This window comes from Homo sapiens, chromosome 10 (assembly GCF_000001405.40).
Source record: "Homo sapiens chromosome 10, GRCh38.p14 Primary Assembly".
Classification (NCBI taxonomy): Eukaryota; Metazoa; Chordata; class Mammalia; order Primates; family Hominidae; genus Homo; species Homo sapiens.
This window is the reverse complement of record NC_000010.11, coordinates 95,243,156-95,266,530: the sequence shown is the minus strand read 5'-3', so window position 1 is coordinate 95,266,530 and position 23,375 is coordinate 95,243,156. Positions and strand designations below refer to the sequence as shown.

At 43.3% G+C, this 23,375-nt stretch overlaps 1 protein-coding gene across 1 annotated transcript in view, besides 4 other annotated features; it reads left to right on the top strand.

Moving 5' to 3' along the window:
- PDLIM1 (PDZ and LIM domain 1) overlaps nt 1-23,375 on the top strand; it is a 53,432-nt gene that overhangs the window by 24,473 nt on the left and 5,584 nt on the right. The window contains exons 4-5 of the mRNA NM_020992.4: nt 2,468-2,667; nt 19,165-19,316. Coding sequence (NP_066272.1) covers nt 2,468-2,667; nt 19,165-19,316 — 352 coding nt within the window. The remainder of the gene's footprint in view (nt 1-2,467; nt 2,668-19,164; nt 19,317-23,375) is intronic.
- Nucleotides 1,446-2,221: an enhancer, noted in NCBI's record as "OCT4-NANOG-H3K27ac-H3K4me1 hESC enhancer chr10:97024067-97024842 (GRCh37/hg19 assembly coordinates)". NCBI's record gives its function as "activates a minimal SCP1, AML or CMV promoter by ChIP-STARR-seq in naive H9 embryonic stem cells {active_cell/tissue: H9 hESC(naive)}" and the evidence as "EXISTENCE:reporter gene assay evidence [ECO:0000049][PMID:30033119]".
- Nucleotides 5,444-6,133: an enhancer, noted in NCBI's record as "H3K27ac hESC enhancer chr10:97020155-97020844 (GRCh37/hg19 assembly coordinates)". NCBI's record gives its function as "activates a minimal SCP1, AML or CMV promoter by ChIP-STARR-seq in primed H9 embryonic stem cells {active_cell/tissue: H9 hESC(primed)}" and the evidence as "EXISTENCE:reporter gene assay evidence [ECO:0000049][PMID:30033119]".
- Nucleotides 11,662-11,841: an enhancer, noted in NCBI's record as "active region_3793". NCBI's record gives its function as "activates an Ori minimal core promoter by ATAC-STARR-seq in GM12878 lymphoblastoid cells {active_cell/tissue: GM12878}" and the evidence as "EXISTENCE:reporter gene assay evidence [ECO:0000049][PMID:35858748]".
- Nucleotides 21,059-21,118: an enhancer, noted in NCBI's record as "active region_3792". NCBI's record gives its function as "activates an Ori minimal core promoter by ATAC-STARR-seq in GM12878 lymphoblastoid cells {active_cell/tissue: GM12878}" and the evidence as "EXISTENCE:reporter gene assay evidence [ECO:0000049][PMID:35858748]".

Genomic DNA, 23,375 nt, shown 5'->3' with positions numbered 1-23,375 from the left:
TATTCCTTGCCAAACAGGAAATTGCAGGGAAAAATTGAGCCAAGGCGGAAAAATAAAGACCCTTCCTTGGGGCTCTGCATCCTCTGCTGCTCCTAGGAATTGCCATGGTGATGGAGAGAAGAAGAAAGAATGACCATCCTGGCTGCGGCACATGTAGGCAAGGGTACCAGGCCACCCATCTGTAAATCTCTGTCTTCATGACCATAGCCTTTAATTACTATATATTATTTATTTGGGTAGCTGTGCCATAAAATTTACTTAACTACTCTTTGATAACTGCTGAAGTTTTGTGTTGTTTTTTATTTTTTGTTATTTATTTTTATTTTTTATTTGTGAGATGGAGTCTTGCTCTGTCACCCAGGCTGGAGTGCAATGGTGCAGTCTTGGCTCACTGCAACCTCTGCCTCCTGAGTTCAAGTGATTTTCTTGCCTCAGCCTCTGAGTAGCTGGGATTACAGGCAGGTGCCACCACGCCTAGCTAATTTTTATATTTTAGTAGAAACGAGGTTTCACCATGTTGGCCAGGCTGGTCTTGAATTCCTGAACTCAGGTGATCCTCTTGCGTTGGCTTTCCAAAGTGCTGCGATTACAGGAATGAGCCACCGTGCCTGGCCTGTTTTGTTTTTTTAGGGATGAGAGTCTAGCTCTGTCACCCAGGCTGATGTGCAGTGGCACGATATGGCACACTGCATCCTCCATCTCATGGGCTTACATGATCCTCCTGCCTCAGCCCTCTCAAGTAGCTGGGACTACAGGCTACTTGACTGTCTAACTTTTTTTTACGGATGGGGTCTTACTATGTTGCCCAGGCTGGTTTCGAACTCCTAGGCTCAAGCAATCCTCCTGATTTGGACTCCCAAAGTGTTGGGATTACAGGCGTGAGCCACTGCACCCAGCCAAAAGAGAAATCTTTTTTTTTTTTTTTTTTTTTTTTTTTGACAGAGTTCCACTCTCGTTGCCCAGGCTGGGGTGCAATGGTACAATCTCGGCTCACCGCAACCTCTGCCTCCTGGGTTCAAGAGATTCTCCTGCCTCAGCCTCCCGAGTAGCTGGGATTACAGGCATGCGCCACCATGTCTGGCTAATTTTTGTATTTTTAGTAGAGATGAGGTTTCTCCATGTTGGTCAGGCTGGTCTTGAACTCCGGACCTCAGGTGATCCGCCCGCCTCGGCCTCCCAAAGTGCTGGGATTACAGGCGTGAGCCACCACGCTCGGCCCAAAAGAGAAGTCTTAAACATAAAAATATTTTCAGGTTGTTTTCTTTTATTTTAAATTAGGTACTCAATAAAGCTTTTAGTTTTCATGATTTTTTTTTTTTAAGAAAGCATAAAAGACTTGAATATTTAACAAAAAAGGAGAGAAAAAAGGAAGTGCAACAGATGACAGGAACTCTTTTGGAGGCAGCTGTTCTGGGCCTGGGTGTTTTAAGAAAGAGACTAGAGTTCAGGAAGATTTTTCTGGAAAACACAGACACTAAGACACATTTTGAGTTCAGCTGGCTGCACAGAGCATGCATCACCTAGAAGCCATGGGTTGTCCAGACACCCATATAGAAAGGACCTTGCTGATTGGGCTATCAGAAAAGCTGTGATGCTGGCAGGAGGGAAAGAAAAAGTAGAAAAGCTGTAGTTTTAGAAAACAGGAATGTTAATTTCCAAAGTGGCTTTGCGGGTTTGTAAAGGAGCTCTGAGATGTTGTAGCTGTAGTAATTATTCACCTGACTCTTAACAAGTCTAGGGTGGGGGTGGAGGGAACTTTCTCAAATTACAGAAAGAGGGGAATGAGAACACAAGGAACTCAAAAGTCCTTTTCTGCAGCTCTGCTGGGTACCGCCCCTGTAACAGGTATCCCCGACCTTCTATCTGATTAGCCTTGTCTTTCTCCCAGAAGAAACAATAGATCCTTAATTTCCTTTACCCTTGCTCTGCAGGAGACTGAGACCATCTCTGCCTAGTCAGCAGCTGCTTCCCCTGTGACACCACACCCTCTTACCTTGCTTGTCTAACTTGCTCACTTATGGAGAATTTATCTCCACCTTTTATCATCTCCTGCTTTTGCACTGACCAAAGTGACTGCATATTTCTCTTCACCTAGTGCTTTAATCTCTTTGGTATGTGCCCTGAAAGCGTGTTTTAGCTCTGACTTGAATCTTACAGCCCAAAGCATCAAGGGCTGTCCTGCCCGAGGGTGCCTTAGAGGGCAGGCTTTGCTGGGCCTCAAGGAAGAATCAGAAGGTAGAGATGATTCAGGGGGTGTGAACTCGCACAGGTGCCCATTGTGGGAAACTTCCCCAGTCATTGCCCGTGTGTCTCAGTGGGTGTGTCAGTGTCCCTCAGCTAAAGTTTGGGTTGAACTAGGGCCATCTTAGCAGCTGGAACACCTCTCCCTGGCGCTCAGCCTGCACTGCCCATCAAGGGGTTTGCATTGGATGCCCCCCTTGATTTCTCCTCTGATCCCTGCCTGCAGGAGGTCCTGCACATAGGAAGCGCCCACAACCGAAGTGCCATGCCCTTTACCGCCTCGCCTGCCTCCAGCACTACTGCCAGGGTCATCACAAACCAGTACAACAACCCAGCTGGCCTCTACTCTTCTGAAAATATCTCCAACTTCAACAATGCCCTGGAGTCAAAGACTGCTGCCAGCGGGGTGGAGGCGAACAGCAGACCGTAAGTAGCCCAGGAGTCCTCCTCTGAGCCGCTCCTGGGAGGGGCTTTTCACATCAGGACCAGGGCTGCCCAGGCAGGTGCAAGAGCCACTACTCCAGGGAGAAAAATGACTACATTAGCAGAACACTTCTGTGTTCATTTTCTTCATCTACACAAAGGGGACAATACCTCCTGCTTTATAGGGTGTCTGTAAAAGTAAGAATTAATACGTAAAATGCCCAGCATTGTGTTAAGCACAAACAAATCACTTAATCCTCCAGAACTGTTTTTATTTGTGTTTTGATTTCTGTGGTCATCATCTTCTAATTGAACATAGTCCTTCCTTGACAGGCCTGCTGCTTCCCGAGAAATTCTTCAGTATTATTAGTCGGGGAGTGTTTGAGGGAATCTAGAGTAGCCTGTGCTTATGTCCACCATCTGAACTAAGCAAGGGAGAAATACTTCATGCTGCATAGTTTTGGTGAAGCAGTGTTTGCTTTTTCCCTAGAGTGGACCAGAGGTCATGAAAGAAGAGAGGTCCCTGAGGATATAAATGCTTGTCCTAGGAATAGGTTCTGATCTGGGGACAGAGGCAGGCTTAACTGGGGGAGAGGTAGGGCTGCAGGTGGAAAGGGGAGAGGTGTCTGAGGAAGTGCCTTGCTGGGGACTGAGGAGGCATGTCCTCTTCTGTCACAGATCATCTGGCTGCAGCTGCCTTTGAGTCTTTTTTTTTTTTTTTTGAGACAAGCTTTCGCTCTGTCACCCAGGCTGGAGTACAGTGGTTTGATCACAGCTCACTGCAGCCTCGACCTCCTGGGTTCAAGTGATCCTCCCACCTCAGCCTCCTGAGTAGCTGGTACTACAGGTGTGTGCCACCACACTTGGCTAAGTTTTACTTTTTTTTGTAGAGATTGGGGTCTCACTGTGTTGCCCAGGCTGGTCTCGAACTCCTGGGCCCAAGTGATCCTCCCACCTCAGACTCCCAAATTTCCGGGATTACAGGCATGAGCCACCAAGCCCTTTGAGTCTTTATTGGAGTCTCCTGGATCTTGCCAGCAGAGGGGCCCAGTGTCTGCTCCATCTCAGGCTCTTTGAGGATGAATCCAGAAACACTGGGAATCCCAGCAAAGGAACTGGGTTTGAGGATGGGTTAAAGATGGGGCCAATTCTCTGTAGGTGTAAAGTGGGTGGACTAGGTTAGGAATTGCCCACTCAAATACCCAAAAGTGGCAGGCAGGATGAGGAACTGAGGCAGAGCTCTGAGTAAACAAGGGTGCTGGGTGGGGGTGGGGGTGGCAGCTGGAGCGTGCATTCCTGGTCCGGAGGGGACGCTGCTCCTTGGCTCCAGCCACGTGCCTCATGCAGGTCTCATTTCTGCTAATTATTTCCATTAAAACAGAAGTTGGAAAGCCTCTTTTTTTCGGAAATCTCCTGATTTTTAATTATTGGTGACATTTAAATTTTGTTGGAAAACACTGTGTGGTCCAAACTTGCCTTAGCTCTGAGAACCTTTCTCACTTGGAATCATCAATTTTTGTATTGCCTCTGAAGCCCGCTTTGCCATTCAGTTTCTCCCCAATTCACCTTTAACAAGAACCTGCTCAACTCTTAGGGTAATTAAATTGCAAACCAATGGCTTCAAATGCAGGTTGAGAGAGGTTAAGATACTAGAGGTTCCAAACTACTTAAATGTTTGGAAAGGGCTGTTGTAGCAACACCTCTCAAGGGCTCCTTGGGCATTCCTTGCATATAGTCACCCCTCCCCTCCCCAGAGAGAGACAGATGTCATTGGACACCCATGACATGTGCATCCCTGTTCCCTGTGCCTGACACTGAGAGGACACTAAGATTTCTTTCTTTCTTTTTTTTTTTTTTTGAGACGGAGTTTCACTCTTGTTGCCTAGGCTAGAGTGCAATGGAGTGATCTCTGCTCACCACAACCTCCGCCTCCCGGGTTCAAGCGATTCTTCTGCATCAGCCTCCCGAGTAGCTGGGATTACAGGCATGCGCCACCACGCCCGGATAATTTTGTGTTTTTAGTATAGATGGGGTTTCTCCATGTTGATCAGGCTGGTCTCAAACTCCCGACCTCAGGTGATCTGCCTGCCTCGGCCTCCCAAAGTGCTGGGCTTACAGACGTGAGCCACTGCGCCCAGCTGACACTAAGATTTCTTTTAACATTTCTTTGAGTCTGGTAGGGCAGACTTTTTTCTGTGTGACTTTGGCTTTAGAAGATGTTAAAGGTTACTGGCCATTTATCATAGTAACCAAGGCAGTCTCCACCAATGTTTCTTCTTCCCTCAAATTCTGGTTCTTGCAAGGGCTTACTGGCTTGAGATGATGATTCTCTTCCAGGCGACTGTGGGGACATTTGAGATACCTGAGAAACGGTGTCATACTGGTCCCCCTAGGCTTTCCACAGACACACCCTGAGAGGAAGCTTCCAAGCAGCTCAGGAGTGGTGGAAACACTGGGGGCCTGTGATCCCTGTTTTTAGCTGCTTTGGTGCTGGGGAGGCTGAGAACATGACCCTCTTTTACTGTCCCAGAGTGGAATATTCCATGATCTGGACTTAGTAACCCAGGAAATGACACATCCTTAATTGAAAGAGCTGCTATGCATTGGGAGAAATATGTGCCTGGGAAATATTTTTAGTATGGCCTTGGCTATTTTTCCTTCATTAATGTCTCTCTTCTCTCATGTTCCCTGCCTGCTCCCTCCTCTGAGTCTGAAACTACCAGGTGGCTGTTTAAGCCTTTCCTCTAGCCCCTGGCCCAGACTCTTTGGCTGCAGTAGTTGCCGAGTATCAAAATTTGTCTCTTTGCAGATTTTCTCAGCAGAGAGGGTCCTGTTTCTGTTCCACCCCGCACTCTTTGAGGCTGAACCCAGAAACAGTGGGAAAACCAACAGCCTAAGGCAGAGGAGCTGCCTAACTGGCCATGCTGCTTGTATGGGGGGATCTCAGCTTGCTGGTGTATTTCTAGTGCATTCCCACAAAGAAAGATTCTCCTGTGAGCCCAGCAGTCACCTGGTAACTTTGCTTGCTCAGTCAGCACAAGTCCCAAGTGCTCGCTCCCTCCCACTGTTTAGTCTGTGAAATTCGCTGAAGTTCCAGAATTGGCTCACTACATACTTTGCATCTGAGGTCATCACCCATTCTCTGGGGCTTGCCCTGGATTTCTTTGTCCTATGCACTTGAAAGTATTGTGGTGTGTCTGTTGCTATCTGTCTTGTAGGTCTTTACAGAGCTGTGTCCCAGTCAGATAAGAACAGAGATAGCCTTGCCAACTGGTAAGGCAGGTGAGGGGGTTTCTCTGCTGCCCTTCCTCCCAGTGCACACAGTGGAGGGGGAGGTCCTCAGTGGCCTTTTTCCTCTAGGTCAGTTCAGCATAATCATTTATTGAGTGCCTACTGTGTACCAGGTGGGCGAAGAAAATGTCAGTTCAGCAGAAAGCTAGCACCTTTCCTCTGTTCTCTTTTAATTGAGTTGAGGGGACCCTGGTCAAAATCAGAAAATTCAGAGCCCAGATTTCATTGTTTATATGATACTGCCTGATACTTCCTAAAGGCTTGGTAGATAGAGGGGCCTGAGCCTTGAATTCCAGCTCTGCCTCTTACTAGCTGTGTGACCTTGGGAAAACCATGTAACATCTCTGAAACTCAGTCTCCTGAGATCTAAGGTGGAAATAATACTAACTTCTTTACCACCAGGTTGTTGAGACAATGCAATGGGATGTGCACAGAGCACTCAGCACAGTGCCTGGCCCCTGGTAGGTGCTCACTAAATGCTAATTATTGCTAACTTTAGTTTCCATGAGGAACTCCATCCCCATCACTTCTGAGAACTGGGGGCTACAGAAGTGTGGAAGCACATAGACAAATGTAATGGAGAAGACTTTGCTGTGGCTTATGGTACACTTCTTTCTTGCCCATTAAATTCAGCCAGCCCACACAGCTAATCAGCTTACTGATGGGGTGGTGGTGTTCTCTTCAAGGAATGATTGGAGAGCTCCTGTAACCAACATACTAGGCCCTAGATAATAGCTCTTCCAAATTGTGTTGTAAGGTGTTGCCCCCAAACATTCATGAGGGAGATTTCTAAGCAGCTGCCCTGGAAATAAAGGGATGCATCATTTTCTATTCAAATATTATCACAAGGATGATGTTAACCCTGGCTTCTTCAGAGCTGAATCAGAAGTACACCTCTATCATGAAGGCTGCTTGCCCCTCTAGCTAAACCTGCCTGCCACCCACAGAAAACTGGCTCTGCTGTGCGGGCATTCCTCTCTCTTCTCCTGGTGCCCACAATTACCCCTCTGGTTTCTTATTGCAGGACCAATATGTGTGCCTTTGAAGACCAAAACTTAGGAAGCACACAGGCCAGGCTTCCCTTCTGAAAATGATTACATAGGGTTTCCCAGAATGGCGTTTTTGGGTGAACATTGGGGTAATCAGGCTGGGACATCTCATTTCTTGGGATATGAGATAGGAAAGATTTTTCTGGGTCCGCCTACCTCCTTTCCCCCACCTACATAAAAAACAAGTATTCCTCTACATTATTTCCAGCTAGCACTTAACTTCCACCATTTGGGGAAAATATTTCTTAAAATTAATTAAAATTTTTATTTTGAGATAATTGTAGATTCACTTGCAGTTATAGGAAATAATACAGAGATCCCCTATACCCTTTACCAATTTCCCTCAATGGTAACATCTTGAAAACACAATAGTAACAAAATTAGGATATTGACATCAATACACTCAAGATACTGAACATTTCCATCTCTGCAAGGGTTTCTCATGTCGCTCTTTTATAGCCACACTCGCTTCCCTCCTTTTCCCTCATCCTCCTTAACCCCTGGCAACTTACTTATCTACTCTTTATATTTTTATTATTTCAAAAATGTTATATTAATGGAATCATACAGTATGTAACCTGGGATTAGCTTTTCTACTCAGTATATTGTCTGGAGATTTATTTAGGTTTTTGTATCGATAGGTTTATGTATCAATAGTTTGTTCCTTTTTTTTCTGTTTTATGGGTTTGTCTTTTTTTATTGTGTTAAAAAACATGAAATTTATGATCTTAAACGTTTTTAAGTGTATTGTAATGTTTACTATGTGTACATTGTTGTGCAACACATCTCTAGAACTTTTTTATCCTGAAAAACTGAAATTCTGTACCCATTGAAAAACAACCTCACCTTAAAGTCCCCATCTCTCAAGCCCCTAGCAACCACTATAATACTTTCTAAGTTTGATTACTTTAGATATCTCATATAATTGGAGTCATGCATTTGTCTTTTTTCAATTACCATAATGTCCTCAAGGTTTTCCCATGTTGTAATATATGACAGAATTTCCTTCTTCTTTTCTTTTTTTTGAGACAGAGTCTCGCTCTGTCCCCCAGGCTGGAGTGCAGTGGCGCGATCTTGGCTTACTACAAACTCTGCCCCTCCAGGTTTAAGCAATTCTCTGCCTCAGCCTCCCGAGTAGCTGGGATTACAGGCGTGTGCCACCATGCCCGGCTAATTTTTTTGGTATTTTTTTAGTAGAGATGGGGCCTTCTTTTTTTAAGGCTGAATAATATCCCATTTTTTTTTCACATTTTCTTTATTCATGTTGATATGGTTTGTCTGTGTCCCCGCCGAGATCCCATCTTGAATTCCACGTGTTGTGGGAGGGACGAAGTGTGAGGTAATTGAATCATGGGGTCAAATCTTTCCCATGTTGTTCTCATGATAGTGATTAAGTCTCACAGGATCTGATGGTTTTAAAAAGAGGAGCTCCCTTCACCAGCTCTCTCTCTCTTTGCCTGCTCCATCCATGTAAGATGTGACTTGCTCCTCCTTCCACCATGATTGTGAGGCCACCCCAGCCATGTGGAACTGTAAGTCCAATTAAACCTCTTTCTCTGTAAATTGCCCAGTCTTGGCTATATCTTTATCTGCGGCATGAAAACACACGAATACACATGTTTTTATGGACGTTTAGGTTGCTTGCACCTCCTGGCTATTGTGAGTAATGCTGTAATGAACATGGGTGAGCAAATATCTCTTTGAGATCCTTCTTCATTTCTTTTGTATATAATCAAAAGTGGGATTGCTGGATCATATGGTAAATTTTTAATTTTTTGAGTAATCTCCATACTGTTTTCCACAGCAGCTGCACCATTTTACATTCCCATCATCAATACGCAAGGGCTCCATTTTCTCCACAACCTTACCAACATTTGTTTTATGTCTTTTTGATAGTGGCCATCTTAATAGATGTGAGGTGATATCTCATTTTGGTTTTGATTTGCATTTCTTTAATGATTAGTGATGTTGAGTATCTTTTCATATGCTTGTTAATCATTTTTGGCTAAATGTCTATTCAAATCCTTTGATCATTTTTTAATCGAGCTATTTGTTTTTTGTTGAGTTGTAGGAGTTTTTTTTTATATATTCTGGATATTAATTATACGTATGTTTTGCAAATATTTTTTCTATTTCATAAGTTGCCTTTTCACTCTGTTGTTTCCTTTGTGGTACAGAAATTTTAAAGTTTGATGTAGTTCTATTTGTTTATTTTTGCTTTTGTTGCTTGTGTTTTTGTGTCATATTCAAGAAATCATCACCAAATTCAATGTTAGGAAGCTTTTTTTATTTTTATTTTTATTTTTTAATAGAGACAGGGTCTCAGGCTGGTCTCGAACTTCTGGGCTCAAGTGATTCTCCTACCTTGGCCTCCCAAAGTGCTGAGATTACAGGTGTCAGCCACAGCACCTGACCCCCTATGTTTTCTTTTAGAAGTTTTATATTTATAGTTTCTGGTCTTATGTTGGTCTTTAATCTATTTTGAATTCTTTCTTTCTTTCTTTCTTTCTTTCTTTCTTTCTTTCTTTCTTTCTTTCTTTTTTTTTTTTTTTAAGATGAAGTCTCATTCTGTTGCCTGGGCTGGAGTGCAATGGCATGATCTTGGCTCACTGCAACTTCTACCTCCTGGGTTCAAGTGATTCTTTGGTCTTAGCCTCCTGAGTATCTAGAACTACAGGCTTGCGTTGCCACTCCTGGCTAATTTTTTTGTAGTTTTTGGTAGAGATGGAGTTTCACTGTGTTGGCCAGGCTGGTCTTGAACTCCTGACCTCAAGTGATCTGCCTGCCTCAGCCTCCCAAAGTGCTGGGATTACAGGCATGAGCCACTGTCTCCAGCCAAATTATTTTTTTATGTGGTGTTAGGTAAGGGTCCAACTTCATTCTTTTACATGTGAATATCCAGTTTTTCCAACACCATTGAAGAAATTATTCTTTAACCATTGTGTAGCTGTGGCACCCTTGTTGAAGATCATTTGACAGTGTATGCAAAGGTTTATTTGTGGGCTCTCTATTCTATTTCATTGGTCTCTATATCTGTCTTATGCTAGTACCATACTGTTTTGATTACTGTAGCTTTGTAAAATGTTTTGAAATAAGGACGTATGAGGCCTCCATTTTTGTTTTTCCTTCTCAAGGTTGTTTTGGCTATTTAGGATCCTTTGAGATTTTATATAATTTTACAATGATGTTTTTTTATCTGCAAAAAATGCCATTAGGGTTTTGATAGTGATTGCATTGAAGATGTAGATTGCTTTGGGTAGTACAGATATTTTAACAGTCTTAGGTCTTCCAGTCCATGAACATGAGATGTCTTTTTGTTTATTTGTGCATTCTTTGGTTTCTTTCAACAATGTTTTATATTTTTAAACATTTTAAAATGTTTTATAATTTTAAAATGTACTCTATTCAGTGTACAAGTCTTTCACCTCCTTGGTTAAGTTTATTAGGTATTTTGTTCTTTTTGATGATTACACAAGATTGTTTTCTTAGTTTTCTTTTTGGATTATTCATTGGTAGTGTATAGAAACAACTTTTTTGTTTGTTGATTTTGTATTTTGCAACTATGCTGAATTCATTTATTAGTTCCAATTGTGTGTGTGTGTGTGTGTGTGTGTGTGTGTGTGTGTAGTGGGGGGGGATCTTTAGGGTTTTCTGTGTATTCGATCATCGCATCTTTGAACAGATACAATTTTACTTCTTCCTTCCCAATTTGGATGCCTTTTATTTCTTTGACTTGCCTAAGGTCTCTGATTAGGACCTCCAATGCTATGTTGAAAAGAGGTGGTAAAAGTTGGCATTCTTGCCTTGCTGCTGATCTTAGAGGAACAGCTTTTGGTTTTTCATTTTGAGTGAGAGGTTAGCTGTGGGTTTTTCATACATGGACTTTATTATGTGGAGGTAATTTCCTTTCATTCCTGTTTTGTTGAGTATTTTTATCATGAAAGTTTGTTAAATTTTGTCAAATGCTTTTTCTGCATTCAGATGACTGTAGTTTTTGTCCTTCATTCTGTTAATGTGATGTGTTACACTGATTGATTGTTATATGTTAAAACATCCTTGCATTACAGGATTAAATTCCACTTGGTCATGGTGTTTAATCCTTTTAATATGCTGTTGAATTTGGTTTGCTAGTAGTTTGTTGAGTATTTTTGCATCAATATTCATTAGTAATATCAGTCTGTAGCTTTTTTTTTTTTTTTTTTAGTATCTTTGGTTTTGGTATCAGGGTAATAGTGGCCTCATAGAATGAGTTTGGAAGCATTCTCTCTTCAGTTTTTTGGAAGAGTTTGAGAAGGATTAGTTTTAATTCTTTTAAAATTGTTTGATAGAATTCACCAGTGAAGCCATCTGGTTCTGGGCTTTTCTTTGTTGGGATGTTTTTGATTACTGATTGAACCTCCTTACTAGTTATAGGTCTGTTTAGAGATTTTTAATTTTTGTATGACTCAGTCTTGGTAGGTTGTGTTTTTGGGAATTTATCTATTTCTTCTAGGTTTTCTAATTTGTTAATGTATAATTGTTCATAGTAGTCTGTTATTATCCTTATTTCTGTGGTATTAGTTGTAATGTCTCTTTCATTTCTGATTTATTTATTTATTTACTTACTTACTTACTTACTTAGAGGCAGTCTCTCTCTCTTGCCCAGGTTGGAGTGCAGTGGCTCACTGCAACCTCTGCCTCCTGGGCTCAAGTGATCTTCTTACCTCAGCTTCCTGAGTAGCTGAGACTACAAGTATGTGTCACTATGTCTGGTTAATTTTTTTTGTAATTTTTGTAGAGACAGGGTTTCACCATGTTTCCCAGGCTGGTCTCGAACTTCTGAGCTCAAGCAATCCTCCTGCATTGACCTCCCAAAGTACTGGGATTATAGTCGTGAGCCACCGTGCCTGGCATGATAGTATTGTTGAATTTTTCTGTATCCTCTCTGATTATCTGTCTAGTTGATCTATCAGTTGTTAAGAGAGGGGTATAGAAGTCTTCAACTAAAATTGTGAATGTGTCTCTTTTCCTTTCAGTTCTATCAGTTTTTGCTTTACATATTTTGAAGCTCTGTTGTTTGATGCACACACATTTAACATTGCTATAGCTGTTGGTGAGTTAACCCTTTTGTGGTTATATAATGTCCATTTCCATCTCTGGTAAATTTACTTGTTCAGAGGTATACTTATCAGATATTATTAATAATATAGCCACTCCTGTTTTCTTTTGATTAATATTGGCATGATATATTGTTCTCTACCATTATACTTTTAGCCTGCTTATACATTAATATTGGAAATGAGTTTTATGTTGATAGCATGTATTTGGGTCATGTTTTAAAATGTACTGTTTTGTATCTACCCTGTTCATTTCTGTCTTTCAGTTGGTTTATTTAGATGATGAACATTAATGCGATGATTGATATGTTAGGGCTTAAGTCTGGTATTTTATTTTGTTTTCTGTTTTCCATTTCTGTTTTCTTTTTCCTGCTTTCCTGTGGGTTATTTGACATCATTTTTTTTAGAATAACATTTTTATTTGTAGTGTTTTTTATTCTATGTCTTTGTATAACCTTTTCAGTAGTTATCTGGGTATTACATTGTGTATATATAACTTATCACAGTTTACTGGCGTCATCATTTCAGGAGTTCAAAGAAGTATAGAAACTTTGCTTCTCTTTGTGAACCTTTGCCCTCCCCTGCTTACAATATAGTTAAAATAGATCCTTTTATACACTTAGAACCACATCAGACAGTGTTATAATTTTTGCTTTACTTGTCAACAAGAGTTAGAATATATTGAGAGGGCAAGTATTTTTTAAACCCATATTTTTGCTTATGGGTTCTTTTTTCATTCTCGATATTCCAAGATTCCTTCTTTTTTTTTTTTTTAAGACAGAGTCTCGCTCTTGTCACCCAGGTTGGACTACTGTGGTGCGATCTCCGCTTACTGCCACCTCCACCTCCCGGGTTCAGGTGATTGTCATGCCTCAGCTTCTTGAGTAGCTGGAATTAACGGGCATCCGCCACCACGCCCAGCTAATTTTTGTATTTTTAGTAGAGACAGGTTTTTGCCATGTTGGCCAGGCTGGTCTTGAACTCCTCACCTCAGGTGAGCCACCATGCCTGGCTGGTTCCTTCTTTTATTTTTTTTCGTCTATTTAGAGAACTTCCTTTAAACATTGTTAGGGTAGCTTTGCTAGAGATAAATGCTCTCAGTTTCCCTGTATCTGAGAATGTCTTGATTTCTCCTTCATTCTTGAAGGATATTTCCACTGGATACAGAATGCTAGGCTGGCAGTTTTTTTTCTTTCAGCAGCTGAAAGCATTGTGCTACTTCCTTCTTTTCTTTATGGATTCTGATAAGAAATCTGCTGTCTTTTGAATTGGTTTTCCCCTCTAGATAAGGCGTCATTTTTCTCCTACTGCTTTGGAAATTCTTTCTTTGTTGTAGTTTTCAGAAATTTACTATGATATGTTTTGGTGTGGATTTTTTTAGGTTTATCCTGTTTCCTGTTCACTTCACTTCTTTATGTCTTTTGCCAAATTTAGGACACCTTCAGACATGATTTCTTCTAGTACTTTTCTAGTTCCACCTTTTTTCTCTTCTTCCAAGACTCCATTGACATGAATTTTTGATCTTTTATATATTCCCATAGGTTTGTGAGGCTCTTCATTTCTTTTTTTTCTCCCCATTCTATTTTTCTATGATCTTGAAATTGTATAATTTCTAATATTCACCTTCCAGTTCACTGATTCTTTCCTTTGTCTCCTTCATGCTGCTGCTGAGTGTATCCACTGTGGTTTTATTTCAGTTATTTTGTCAGTTCTAGAATTTCCATTTCATTCTTTATATCTTCTGTTTGTTGAGACTTTATTTGTTTTAAATGTGCTCATAATTGTTCATTGAAACATTTTTATGATGACTGTGTTACCATCTTTGTTAGATAATCCCAACATCTCTGTCATCTTGGTGTTGGCATCTCTTTATTGTCTTATTTACAGTTTGAGATCTTCCTGGTTCTTCTGAGAGATGTGATTTTTCAACTGAATCTTGAACATTCTTGTTACTATGTTATTAGATTCTGGATCGCATTAAAACCTTCTGTATTCACTGGCTTCCTCTCAGATATGGGATTGGGGATGCTGCCTCATTACTGACAGGTGGGGGTAGAAAGTCCACTTTCCCCACTCTGCCTATGTCACACCTGAGGTCATTGGGGCCACTCATTACTGCTGGATGGGGTGGGAGTTCTGGCTCCCCATATGGCTTCCACTGACACCTTATGGGTGAGTGGTGGCCTAGACACTGCTGAGCAGTGGTGAGAGTCCTGATTCTCTCCTAGGTTTTCTTCATTACAGCTGGGTAAGGATGAAATATGGACTCTCTATTGGGCTTTCTCTGAATCTACCCCAGTGAGATAGTTGGGGAACCACATCATAGCCTGGTGAGACTAGAAGTCTGGACCCCCCACTTGGCCTTTTCTGGCATTTGGCTGGAGAATAGTGTTGTTTCAATGTGTTGTGTTTTGCTGGGCTGCCCCTTTCTGGTTATTTGGTCAGATACAGCAGGCTCCTCTTGAGACTTCTTCTGTCTGTGCCCATTGCCCTTTCCAGGTTGCTGCCCTCCGCTCCATGTCTGGGATGTCCAAGGAAACAAGAACACCCTGGGAGCTCACCATCGTGGTCCTCAGGACGTGGGGTCCCTAGCCAGTGTGGCTTCCGTTGCCCTGTCAGAGTCTTCTCATGTTGTTTTATATGTAATGTCCAGGGTTTTTGGTTTTACTGGGTGAAACAGGGAAAAATATGTCTACCTCATCTTCTCAGACAGGAAAAATATTTTTATGAGGAGACCATCTTCTCCTGTCTGGATGCTTTCAATAATTCACGTAATCCCCGTTTCTATTCCAATTTTTATCTCACATACAGGTAGTTTTATTAAAGTATCAAAATGTTCTTACTGTGTGAGAAAATGACCCTACTAAGGTTGTATCAGCAATGAGGATTTTTTTCTTATGGCTGTCTTGTTTTAGCAACTTCTGCCTCCTAGGTTCAAGCGATTCTACTGCCTCAGCCTTCCAAGTAGCTGGGATTACAGGCACACGCTGCAGCACCTGGCTAATTTTTTTTGGATTTTAGTAGAGATAGGAGTTTCACCGTGTTGCCTAGGCTGGTCTCGAACTCCTGAGCTCAGGCAATTCACCTGCTTCGGCCTCCTAAAGGTGTGAGCCACCGCACCTGGCCTAGCTGAGATTTATATACAGATAATTAAGTTGCTGCCACAGATGATGGCCCAAGTTAAAAAAAAAAAAAAGCCCCTTATATCCTCACTCTGGGCACTTCATGGTTCTGATGGAGTAGACTTTCATCCCAGGGTTGCTGTGCTGACCCATGCTCCAGAGCCATGGGCGTACTGCTTTCCATCCTCCTCGTCCTTCTGACCCTCACCCCAGCTGCCCTTTTGGCTGGAGCAGGTGTGAGAAACACATAAGGTCTGCAGGCTCAGCCTCCAAAATCCTCCTCTGGGAGGTGGGCTCAAGGGGAGTTTCTGCTTATGTTCTAAAGACCACTAGGATCCTCCTACGCCTGGCTGTGTCAGCCATCTTATTTGGCAGGGATGGGAGTGGCTTGGCTAGAATAACCCTGGGGCCCTCAGGTCACGTCCTAAAATAGTGGGAGAAAATATTAAACATTTAGGAAACAGATACACATCAGCTCCCAGGGAGAAACAAGAACTAGGAAACTTTGTGTAACGTATTGTTACTCCAAAGTAGTTGAATTTGCTTAAACTCGTTATTAAAACTGTATAGAGTGGGTTCAGAAGAAAGTGTTCATTTTCACTGTTACGCCGTCAAAACTTTTTCTCCTGGAGACTGAGTGGTGTGTATTATATTTTCTGAAGCCATATCACTGTAATATTCTTTCATTGCTGTTTTTAATATAAAAACGAGAAATTTTTTGCTCCATTTCTCCTTCATATTTTTGTCATCATTTTTTAAGATATTGTGGTATCATGTCAATACCTTGTAATCTAGTGTCTAAGACTTAGACGTTGGATCTTAGGATGTTATTTTTGAGTCAGGTGTATCAATACCTTAAGTAAGGTAATAGATATTGAGAGTCCTTTATAAATTGTCCAGTGGTTTAAAGATACTATCATTATTTGAGAAAAATGGTAAGTTTTTTTTTTTTTTTAAATTATAGAAATCCCTCACAAGGTGATTTGCTGGAAGAATATGTGATGGCCTTGTGGTCTGGGTTCTGTCATTTTTTTGGTGTGTTCCATTGGTGGCTTCCAGACATAACATACACCAAAGAAGAAGAAAAATCTTTCCCAAGAACATTCCATAGTCTGATCTCAATTTTAAAATAGTCCTAAGTGTAATAGAAAAAAGATTTATCCAAAAATAATGTAATATGCTTATTATGGGGCAAGTTCCAAACTCAGGACTCAAAGAGTCAGGCATATAACTCAAAGAAAGGGCTGGAAAGTGAGACAAAGAAAGACCCTTGGTTAAAACAACTCCCCCAGGTGGCCCCATTGCCTGCCCTGAGAGGCACCCACAGTTCCCTGCAGGTGGGGGAAGAGGCCAAGCAGGAGTGGGCAGGACAGGCAGGGATAGCTGCTTTCCCTTCCCCAAATGCAGCCGGCCGGAGTGACCAACCCATGAATCTTGCTACTTAAACTCTGACCTTCTTTGGTAGCCATGAAGCATATGCCACTCTTTGGGTGCCTTTTCCTTTATTGTGAGAACATGGTTGGAGTGGAAGGGAAACACCTGGACCTTGATTGCTATGATTGACTCTGCCTTTAGCTGGGGACCTGAGTACTGAACGTGCCCCAGAGGTTGTCTCAGAAAAGAGAAAGGAAGAAAGGAGAGGAAGAGAGGGAGAGGAAAAGGGAACTTGCGGAGAATTACCCAGGGAAAACATATACCCTGGAAATGAGTAAGCGTAACTGATATAATTCATTTGCACCTGTGAAAGTGGCTCCAGCCCTAAAGAGAGTCTGTTTAGAGTTGCTGAATAAAACCACTCCTGGCCACTGCCTGCATCTGTAAAGCTGGGAGGCAGCCTGGTGGGCTGGAGACTTTATAGCTTTATTACTCAGGAAGCACAACTTGTTTATATACAAATCTATCCATCTGCATCAATAAATTGCCCCACCATCTGATATTTGCTCTTTGGTTCCACTGGGCACACTGGCCTTTCTCCTTAGCAGCTCAGCTGAGAGGAAGGTGGTGATCTGGGGCCAGGAGGTGGGGCTGCCCATGTCCCTGGCACAACCCTCAGAGGCTGGCTGCCCTGGAGGACCTCGTGAGCCTGCAGGAACAGGGGGAGCACAGCAAGGAGGAAGGAGGCCCTGGACCCATTCTGCAGTGTTCGTTCACTTGCCTGATGCCTGCTGCCTGCTGAACTGTGACCTGTGCCAGGCACTGAGCCGGGCCTGGGAATGTGATGGGGAGCAAGACAGGCCATGCTCCTGCCCTCCTGGGGCTTACTTTCCAGGGGGAGATAGACAACAAAGAAATAAGGGAATACACTGGAATCCATGGTGAGAGAGCAGGTAGGGAGTTAAGAGTGATAGTGGGGATGTGGCGGACTGTTTGGAGTCGGGGTCAGGAAGGCCTCTCTGAGGAGTGCACTTGAGCAGAGACCTGGATGAAGCATGGGAGCCATGACAACACCTGGGAAGGGCATTGCAGGCTGAGGGTGCAGTAAGTGCATAGGCTGTGAAGCTAGTGTTTCCCAGGCACAGCGGGAAGCCTGGTCTCAGTAGAGCAGAGTGGGCCAGGGCTGGCAGGGGATGTGTGTGGAGGGAGAAGTTTGGGTCACATATGTGAGGGACTTTCTCCTCTGTGATAACATTTACTCCAAAAAAGTTGAATTTGATTAAACATATATTTTAGTATTAAAACTAAATATTTTGTGCTAAGTCAAATGAGAATACATTGAGCCACAGCATGACACAGTCTGATTCATGTTTAAAATATCATTCTAGGCCAGGCACTCTGGCCCATGCCTATAATCCTAGCGCTTTGGGAGTCCGAGGCTGGAGGATCACTTGAGGCTGGGACTTTGAGACCAGCCTGGGCAACACAGCAAGACTCTGTCTCTACAAAATAATGACAAAATCAGCGGGGGATGGTGGCACACCTGTAGTCCTAGCCACTCAGGAGGCCGAGGCAGGAGGATTTATCTATTGAGGCCAGTAGTTCGAGGTTACAGTTACCTGTGATTGCACCACTGTACTCCAGCCTGGGTGACAGAGTGAGTCCCTGTCTCTAAAAAACAAAAAATATCACTCTGATATTTTGAATAGAGGCCATCACTTTGGCCTAAGCATGGCATGGCTTGGACCTGGGGGAGGTGGGGAGGTGAGAAGGGGTCAGATGGAGGATAGATTTACAGGTATAGCTGATGAGAGACTACCTCCCTGTCACCGTCCACTGCTTAGAAAGTGGAGCCCTCAGGGAAAGAGGCAGGCTCTGCCTGTCTTATCTTGTTCTGGGTCACCCAGCATGACAGGAGGAAGGTGGGGAAGACAAGGCCTGGCTTGCCCAGTCCCTGGGCCTGAACATCAACAGTTCACAAAGCACTTGCGTGTCCCATCCTTACCACCAAACTGTGAACCAGGCAAGGAAAGTACTGTTACCTCTGTGTTATAGGTGAGGAGACCCAAGTGCCTGGCCTTGAGAATCAGGAAGTATTTATAGACAGGGAAAGCACTGTGAGATCGTCGGGAATGAATAACACTATGATTCCTGCTTGTGCAAGCAATGTTTGTGGCCCATACAAGGGGGACCCGGCTGAGTTCTTCATGGTTGGCTTGTGGTTGACATTTTTTTTTCTCTAAATTTTCTCTGGACATAATGCTGCTGATGGAATTTATAAAGAGATAGAGCATTCTCATTCCACTGGATTAGGCCAAAAAGTAATTGAGCTACTGAAGCTATTTAGAAGAAGAGCCTCTGATTGCATTGAAGCAGCAGCCAGCTCTGACTACAAAGACATCTCAGTTTCACTGTGCTGGCAGCAGGTCTGTGGCTGATTTAGGAGAGGGCTTTGAGATCATTTCTATCCATCCTTCAAATCAGCAGTGTCTGCCTGGAGGAGGTTCCTGGTGAAGTTATTTTTAACTTCTGTCATGTCCTAATCAATTTTTCAAACATTCTTTACAGCTTAGACCATGCTCAGCCTCCAAGCAGCCTTGTCATCGACAAAGAATCTGAAGTTTACAAGATGCTTCAGGAGAAACAGGAGTTGAATGAGCCCCCGAAACAGTCCACGTCTTTCTTGGTTTTGCAGGAAATCCTGGAGTCTGAAGAAAAAGGTAATCAGCTCCATCTGCAGTCAGAGGCTCTTGTTCAAGGTCAGATGTGAGAGTCAGTCATTGTGGAAGCACAGGTGAACACACTCTGGAGCCTGCTTTGGAGGGCATGGGCTTTTAAAATGCTGAAATTCTTTAAAAAGAGATAGAGGGAGAGAGAGAGAGAGAGAGGAAGAGAGTGCTGACCACATTTTCCCATCTGGGTCTGTATTTAAGAAACTCCAGGCCTGGCCAACTGTGTCCTGTCACATGTGCAAGAGGATGCTAAGGTTGGGGTGAGCCTGACTGCTGTGGGAGCCTGTTGGTCTGTCCCTTGGCCATTTATTTGCTTTGAGCCCAGAAACAATACCTTGGTAGTGGCTGAGGAACTTCAGTGATGAAGGCCATGGGCAATGAGCAGCAGAATGAGAATGAATTAGTGCTCGGTGAAGCCAGGGGCTGGCTTTGCTTGGGGGCATGTGTTTGCATTTGCTCTAAGGTGGGTGGCCTCTTGAGGGCCCAAGAGCTCCCCCTTGTGGCCATGTTCTTATTCTGTGACCTTTGGCAAATCTCAACCTTCCCAGGTCTGTTTTCTCATCTGTCCATCAGGGATAAAACTCCTTTCCTCTAAGATTATCATGGTCATGAAATGGCATAAGTTGTGTAAAACATCCATCATCGTAACTGAGTACTCGCTTCATAGTTATTGTGGTGTTTGAAATGTCATGAAGAGGCTTTCTTGTCCTTGGGGTGAGCTTTGATGTTGAGGCACCCAGGGTCACCCCGTAGGGTTCTGCAGGTCTCAGGAGACATGCTTCTCACTGAAGACATTATGTAACGTACATTTATTATGATCATGTTTAAGTGGACAGTGGTAAAAGTATCTTCACTTAATAACAATGCTATACGTCGAGAAATTGTGACAGGTGGATGTATTGAAGAAGGGATGCTTTATTCCCCTCACAAAGATGATCAGCAGCCCTCACACCCGCTTCTTCCCTGGTAGTTCCTCATCAGCACCTCCTGTGATGCTCATGGGCAGTCTTTTCCAGAGAGCTGGGTTTTGTACCCTTTCCTGGTCCCTGTGATGCCCAGTCCTCCACACTCTCTCTTCCTTTCTTGAGGCTTGGGCACTTCAGTGGGGTCTTGTTTTCTATGCCCTCTATCTCTCTCATGGACCCATCTGCAAAGAGACAGTGGATGCTCCAGTGAGGGGACACCTTGTGATGGTGAGTGTGAGACCTGCCTCAGCCAGGCTGCAAAGGGATTGGCATGTTGGCTGAGAGGCTTGTGCCCTCTGGAAGATGAACCTCCCTCCTCAAAGTCCGCAGCCGAAGATTCAGCTTCCTGGGGAGCCCTTTCTGATAAGAAAGTTCTCTTCTGAACACACCCGACACCTGGGCTTCCTCCCCATTTGTGTGATTTCTTTAGAGAGAGTGGCAGTTTACAACCATAGGAAATTAGGAAACCATGGGCCATGTGTTTGCATGTGCTTCTTTTATGCTAAAATGATACTGTTCTACCACTGCTTTCCTCTTTTGCTTGGAGTAGCTGAGCAGCTGGGAAGTAATGAGCCATACTTCGTATCAAGTTCCAGTATTAGCTTTGCCTGACAAACAACTTGGGGGCCAACCCTTGAGGATGATAGCTTTGTAAAAACATGTGAGAAACCACAACTTATTTCACTCTTACGTGGATGTGAAACCCTTCAATGAGAGGCAAGGTCAAGTTCATCCGTGCCCAACTAGACATGCTGCAGAGCTCATCTCAGCTCACAGAGAAGGACCTGAGCATGGATTTGGAAGCTCCATGCTCTTCAAGATCTGGACTCCTATCCGGCACTCCAGCACCCAAATTTGTGGCTTCTATTCCCAAGGTTACTTCGTGGTCCTGGTTAGCAGCTGGTGTTCCAACCATCATGCTTACCCCCAGGTGACAGGGAGGAAGAAGGGAGATAATGCTAACCGGGGAGTTCCAATTTCAGATGAGCCAGCTTTCTCCTTCCCAGAAGTCCCACACTACTCTTCCATTTTATTGACCATGATTTAGTCACCTGGCTACACCTAGTTAAACGAGAGTCTGGGAATTAGGATTCTTTTTAAAAAAAATTTTAGCCCTTAGTCTGGATGGTTCTTGCCCCAAAGAGAATCAAGATTCTGCTGGAAGGGAAGAGGGAGATAGCAAATCTTGTAGTTTCTCCTGTATCTCTTACTGTGTACCCGCATTAAATCTTTACTGACAGTAACAGGATAAATTCCATTCTAAACATTCTTTACATGCAGAAGGCTCTTCGGGGAAGGAACCCAAATGCCTGTTTGTTTTTGTTTTTGTTTTTGTTTGAGACAGGGTCTTGCTCTGTTGCCCAGGCTGGAGTGCAGTGGCATGATCTCGGCTCACTGCTACCTCCGCTTCTCAGGTTGCAGCGATTCTCCTGCCTCAGCCTCCCAAGTATCTGAGATTACAGATGTGTACCACCATGCCCAGATAATTTTTGTATTTTTAATAGAGATGGGGTTTCTCCATGTTGGCCAGGGTGGTCTTGAACTTGTGACCTCAGGTGATCTGCCCACCTGGACCTCCCAAAGCGCTGGGATTACAGATGTGAGCCACTGCACCCGGCCCCAAATGCCTGTTTTTATTTGAGATAAAATGGTGAAAGGTTAAGGTAGTAAAAGCAGTTGATGAGAGGTCCTGTCATTCAGAAACGCCTCTGGTTCAGAAAGCAGTGCTGCAGGGCAGAAAGAGCACTGGCATCCAGGATCTGCCTCTGACCTGCTGTGACACCTCCAGCAAGTTGCTTGCCTTTCTAAGCTCTAGTTTCTGCACAGATCCATTGAAGCTAATAGCCAGGACCTCATGGGATTGTTTACAGGGTTAAGTAAAGCCACGTCTGTAAACTGCCAGGTGCACAGTGAGTAAGGCCCCTCCCTGAAGGAAGCTTGGCTACAGCAGTATTTGGTCATAAACCTTGAAGACCCAACACAAGCTGTCTCATTTTGGGTAAAATTCAGCTTCTAGACTAGGAGAAAGGGGCCCTTGGTTCCTCACCTTCATCTTGTTCTGGATCAAATTCCAAAACTTGCAGGCAGAAGAAGCCGTTATATTAAGAAAAATGGTGAAATATACTTAATATAAAATTTACCATCTTAACAAATTTTAAGTGTACAATTTAGTGGTATTAAGTACATTTATGTGATTGTGCTACTATCACCACCATCCATCCATAGAACTCTTTTATTTTGCAAAACTGAAACTATTCCCATTAAAGAGTATTTCACCATTCCTCTCTCCTTCCAGCTCCTGGTAACCACCCTCCTGCTTGTCTCTATGAATTTGACTACTCTAAATACCTTGTATAAGTGGTGTCATGCAGTAGTTGTCCTTTTGGTCCTGGCTTAGTTCACTTAGCTTAATATCCTCGGGGTTCATCCATGTAGCATGTGTCAGAAATTCTTTCCATTTTAAGGCAGAGTATTATTCCGTTGTTTGTGTATATTACATTTTATTTATCCATTCATCTGTCCATTGAAGGAGACTTTCAATGATTGGAGGTTTGGAAGGAGCAGTCATGGGCTGAGAAAACACAGTGGTGGCCAGAGGCTCTGAGATGAGAAAACTGGAGACTAGTTCAGCAAGTACCGAGGCTCGTTTTGGCTGGTTACCCAGGGTTCCAGGTGAATCCTTGGGTGATCTCGAGTTAGATATGGGGGACCACCAGGTGCAAGGTTAAGAATCATGAGCTTGATTCTAAAGGTAGTGTGAAGTCATGCAAGGTTGTTGAGCAGTGAAGTGGACAGAAAAACAGCTGTGGTTTATTTAGCTAATTTTCACTTTTTTTCCAGAAATATTTGGGATACAGGGTTCACTGTAAGAAGAGAAATTTGGAAATTTTTGTAGTTGCCTGGAGTTCAAAGGAAGCTAGTATTTTCACTATAAGCTAGTTGAGAAGAAAGGAAGAGAGATTTCTCTGGATTCGCAGTGTTGGCTGGATATGTGAGAGAAAAAACCTTGAAGCCAACAGGTGGCACTGTAGGGCTGAACAGGCCACAGTGAGTCTTCTGTTGGGCAGGCAGCCTTCTCCCC